Source organism: Homo sapiens, chromosome 8 (genome assembly GCF_000001405.40).
Source record: "Homo sapiens chromosome 8, GRCh38.p14 Primary Assembly".
NCBI classification, from domain to species: Eukaryota; Metazoa; Chordata; class Mammalia; order Primates; family Hominidae; genus Homo; species Homo sapiens.
In genome coordinates, this window is record NC_000008.11 from 43,377,742 (window position 1) to 43,383,122 (window position 5,381).

General features: G+C 38.0%; 1 non-coding gene across 1 annotated transcript; it reads left to right on the forward strand.

Moving 5' to 3' along the window:
- The first annotated feature begins 556 nt into the window (after positions 1-556).
- LOC124902100 (small nucleolar RNA U3) lies at positions 557-769 on the forward strand. Its single transcript, XR_007061224.1, has one exon. It is a non-coding gene; the product is annotated as a small nucleolar RNA U3 (small nucleolar RNA).
- Positions 770-5,381: the final 4,612 nt, after the last annotated feature.

The window sequence follows — 5,381 nt, forward strand, 5'->3', positions numbered from 1 at the left end:
CTTTAACAGGGTTAAGGGCCTTACATCCATGTAACTTCCTATATTGCTGTTAAGATCTTTTCATTTCACTCTGGTTAAATGAAGAACTATTATTTTATAATGGCCCGTGATTCTGTTGTAATCAAACATTTTGAGTTTTCTAATATCTTTTGACAAACAGCCTCAAATATCAAATACTGAATAAAGTCTCTGACTTAGACTTGTAGCTGGTGGCTTATCAAAACTATAAAAATTAACCACTGCAAGGTCATAAAATCTTCTTACAGCTTCCAGTTAAGTCATGAACTCCAGTATCACCCTCTCCAGGCTGATGATTGGGCATCAGCTGAGAGACTCCTCCAGCGCCATTGAAAAGGGTTTTTATCAAATAGTGTAAATTAAACTTTTTGCTGTTAAGTTGCAGGGCTTTGACTCCTGAGTACTTCTATCTCATCTAAAAGGTAGCACTGGCTCCTGCTGAAACTTAAACATCAATGCTGATATCTGGCACCAAATTCTAGTTAATGAAAGCCCCACCTTCAAACCTGGGAGAAGATGAGAGTCAAAACAACTTGCTAATGCTATACTTTCATGGGTCATTTCTATAGTTTGTTATTAGAGAAGTTTCTCTGAATGTGTTGAGCACCAGAAACCACGAGGAGATGCAGCATTCTCTCCTGAACGGGAAGCCAGCTTTTGGCATTGCTTTGATGCAACTACCATTTGCCATTGATGGCAATGCATCGCTTCCTCTAGGAGTGTAAGAGGGAGTGGATGCAGTCAGAGTGGTTTTTTAAATTAAAAAAATTTAAAAAAAAATCCAGGCTGGGCATGGTGGTTCACACCTTTAATCCCAGCACTTTGGGAGACCAAGGCAAGCGGATCACTTGAGCTCAGGAGTTCAAGATCAGCCTGTGGGCAACATGGCAAAACCCCGTCTCTACAAAAAATTTAAAGTAGCTGGGTGTGTTGGAATATACGTGTAGTCCCAGCTACTTGGGAGGCCAAGGTGGTAGGATTGCTTTAGCCCAGGAGGTTGAGGCTGCAGTGAGTGGAGATGGTGCCACTGCACTCCAGCTTGGGTGACAAAGTGAGACCCTGTCTCTCTCTCTCTCTCTCTCTCTCTCTCTCTCTCTCTCTCTCTATATATATATATATATATATATATATATATATATATATATATATATACTTTCTTGTGATACTGTGCTAGGCCTCTATACAAAGACATAAATACTAAATCATTTTCCTCTATTTTAATATAATTTGTTCTATGCCTTAAAACTAGATAATTTAAATGTTTAGCTACCTGTGGGTTTTTTTTTTCTGTTATTGTCAGAGCTAGGCAGGGCTTATGTCCTTTGTGTTTAAACATTTTTAATTCTGGGCCAGGTGCGGTGGCTCACATTTGTAATCCCAGCACTTTGGGAGGCCAAGGCAGGTGGACTAATTGAGGCCAGGTGTTCGAAACCAGCCTGTCCAATGTGGTAAAACCCTGTCTCTACTAAAAATACAAAAATTAGCTAGGCGCAGTGGCACACGCGTGTAACTCCAGATACTTGGGGGGCATAGAGAGGAGGATCACTTGAACCTGAGAGGCAGAAGTTGCAGACAGCTGAGATCCTGCCACTGCATTCCAGCCTGGGTGGCAGAGCAAGACTGTACAAAAAAATGCCAATTCTATATGTAGCTTATAAAATTGGGTAAAACAACAAAACTTACCTTTCTCTTTCTATGTGGTATTTCCAAAATTTAAAACTATTTTAAATCTCACTGGGCCCAATCTATTTTTATTGCTAATGTACCACTGCTAAAACGATATAAACACCTTTTCTTACAGGTGCAGGCACTCATGTAGAAAAATTGAGCATGTGGAACTGTAAGGGCCAGTTTTGAGAGATAAAATTAGTTTAGCCCCTTCAAATAAAGGACAGGCACACATGCCTAAACAGCTGACAAAATAAGAAACTTTGCCTCCTGGGTTCTTTCCATTCATCCTAATATAAAGAATTACCTACTCTCCATAAAATTAAAAAAGAATTACTTACAGGATATTAAGATACTTAAGTGACAAAGCCTCCTGGGTAGAGTGCTCCAAGTTATGAAATTTTTACAGATACATATAGAAAGCTGTTTTAAATCAGCGATCTTAGTACAAATTACTAAAAAGACTACACACCAAAAAACTTTGTGGAATAACAGAAGTGTCTAAATTCCTTAACTTAAATGGTTTTAATAAAATGTTTGTGTTTCACATAACTAATTACTATAGTTTGTAACTAAAACCAAAATTATGCTAGCTTAACACACAGAAGTTGTTATAAGAAAAACTTCAGCCAAATTAAACTTCAAAGAATATTGAGCAATAAATAATTTGCAAATTGGTCTGCCTCCTGAGCCAGAGTAGACTCAGAGACTCAGTGAAGCTGTGTGGTGGAAGAAGGTTTATGGACAGAAAAAGGAAAGTGATATACAAAAAATTGAAATGAGGTACAGAAACACCTGGATTGGTTACAGTTCAATGTTTGCTTTATTTGAACATGGTTTCTACATTTGATTAGCCAAATCTCAGTGATTGGCACAAATGTAGGCTACAGTCTGTTTACAAGTTTACTTGTTATAGTTCAAGGACAGGGAAATCTTTGGCCTAAACATTTAGGCCAAACTTAACATTTGTAGGGAGGCAGCTTTAGGTTAAACTTAACAATTTCCCTCTTTGGTCATCTTCTCAATTTTGAGAGACTGACAAAAATTTAGTCATTGATGTCACTATTAGTATGTACTTACTTGGTCTTGAAACCCACTGGGAAGTGGGTTTTGTAAGGTGGGAGCAGTTGGTTTTGTAAGGTGGGAACAAGGACTTGGGATTATTTTATTTTATTTTTATTTTTGTAAGGGTTATAGTAGAGGGTACCTCCTTATGCTGGAACATCTTTTTATATGAGAAAAAAACAAAACCTGATCCATTCTAGGATCTGTGTGTTTCCTTAAAGTCTTAGTTTATGTCATGAGTGACTCAGTTTGGTTTGGTCTGGTCTGTTGAGGCCTGATGCATGAGCTGAGTCCAAAAAAATGGCCTCTCATAACTTTGTTTAAAAATTCTCCCCTTTTGGTCAGGTTCTCACTTAGGTGATTTAGACTGTGACCAAAACTTAGGGTCTGAGTGCCACTCTTAGTTGCCATCACTTTGGATTTCTGGTCTCAGCATGCCATTTATAGGTTACAGTGTCCTCATGGTCACACATATTTTGTTTCAGCTCTTGTCATTCCAGTTGAAGAGAGATCATTTGACATTCCAGAGATGGCTGCATGGAAACATTCAAAATTTTAAAGAGAATACAGTGTACCAGGAAGACTATTATTACTATCAGAAAGATAATAACAAGATTTTGGAGTAGTTCCTTACTTAGTGTCCTCATAAACCAAACCACTGAAAATCAAAAGAATGAGCTAAAGAGTCTGCTTGATTAACTAAGCAGTCTCTTCATTAAAACTCTACAAATCCATATAATACCTGGTGTGATGTATTTCTCTGTAGGCCACACATGCCAGCAGCTGCACAGATAATTTCTCTGTTTAGCCAGTAAGTAATCTAGAGCAATTCTATCATTGAGCATAACTTTCCCAAGATAAAGTCTGTTGTGTAACTTTAGCCTTTACAGTAGAATCTGCTATAACACCTATCATTAGGGATACATTTGTAATCATTCCCTCTTGTACTTCAAACCATGGAGAAAATAGGGCTTAACAAATGATGCCCTTCTAGAAGAGTGAAGGCCTCCTCTCAATGCTCTCTTAAACCCATGATGTAGGTTAAGAGGAGTGAACAAATATTCTGTTTCTGACTGATTATGAGGCAACATACGTACCATTAAAATTTCTCACATTTGGCCTCTATCTTCCATCAAAGAATAAGGTTATCCAGATGTGAGGGTAATCTGGCTGTGACATCTGTCACTCAGTTGATCTCCAGGGTTGATTTGGCTGATCTGGCTGGCCAGGCACACTTTCCCTTCCTCCCTCACCACTCCATGTGCATCCCTCCTGAAGCTGCATGCTCAGTCCAAGAGGATGACCATCTCTGTTAGAGGAGGACCATTCTTTGGTCAAGGGTATACGAGTAGCTGCACTCCCCTGGTAGAACTTCCAAACAAGCTTTCAAGTTATAAAGTTGTATATGTATAAGACTAGCTACAAAATCTATCACAAAAGTATATCCCATGAGTGTGCACAACAGACCCCCCCTTTCACATCTATTGTTCATAAAGGCATAAGCAAGGGAAAAAAATATTCAGAATCTAATGTTAGCAGAGCAGTCTTTATCCGTTGTTCACATCAAGTTTGCCATCTTCTGGGGAGAAACTTTTCTGGTTAGCTTTACCTTAAGGGTTATAGTGGGTGTACAGTTTCAAGACTGTGGAGGGACCCTTCTTAGTTGTAAGATTATGAACCCAGAGTTCAAGGTTCCAAAGCTTTTCTGTAGTGTGGATGTCAAGGGCAGTCTTTCTCTGATGTTCTCAGAAGATCCAATCTATAGGCTCTAGATTATGAAGAGGTGTTGATCTCAGTGAATCATAAAAAAGCTTTTTTTACCTGGTGAAAATACACTGTGGCATAATAATCTGTTATAACATCAGCTCTCTTGCATGGGAAAGCTTTAATACAACCAGAAAACACGCACTGAAAATGATAATTCAATGAAATCCCTTTATAAATGTTTAAATGGCCCATCAGGTAGTGGATTGTATCTGAAGCTTTCATTGTCCTTCCAGGAATATGAGTTTGACAAACCAAACATTGGTCATAAGCTATTTTAGCAATTTAGAATTCACCACACCAATATATATTTAACTTGGATCATTTTATCTTTTCTATGATAAGTCATGGAATGCAGAACTTTTAATAATGAAAGCTTTAAGGATGGACTCAGGAAGGATAAGGCAGCTGTCCTGGTTCTCCATGAGTCCATGCTTAACATTGAACTTATGTAGTCTTGAATTCCAGTTGTTTCTCCAATTTAGGTTTATAGCAGTAACAACTGAAGGGTTGTCATAGGTAATTTGACTTAGACCAAGGCGTTCATTCAAACTGTGTATTTAAACAATTTCAGTATTGGTTAATTTAGCGTGAAAGTCTGACAATGTGTTTTCTTGGTATTCAGTTAATTTTCGTTCTACTTTTAAAAACAAGTAAGTCTTTTCGTTAAAGTTCCAGGTACTCTGACACAGTCCAAATGATATGATTCTAAAATTTCCAGAAATCTGTATTCAAGAGCTCTTTTCAGGGTCTTTCCATCCTTTCAGGAATCTCCCAAAAGACACCATATTCTGGGACATTTTGGGCTTGTGAAGTTTTCAGAAACTGCATCAGTATTAAGCAATTAACTGTGGAAATGATGTTAA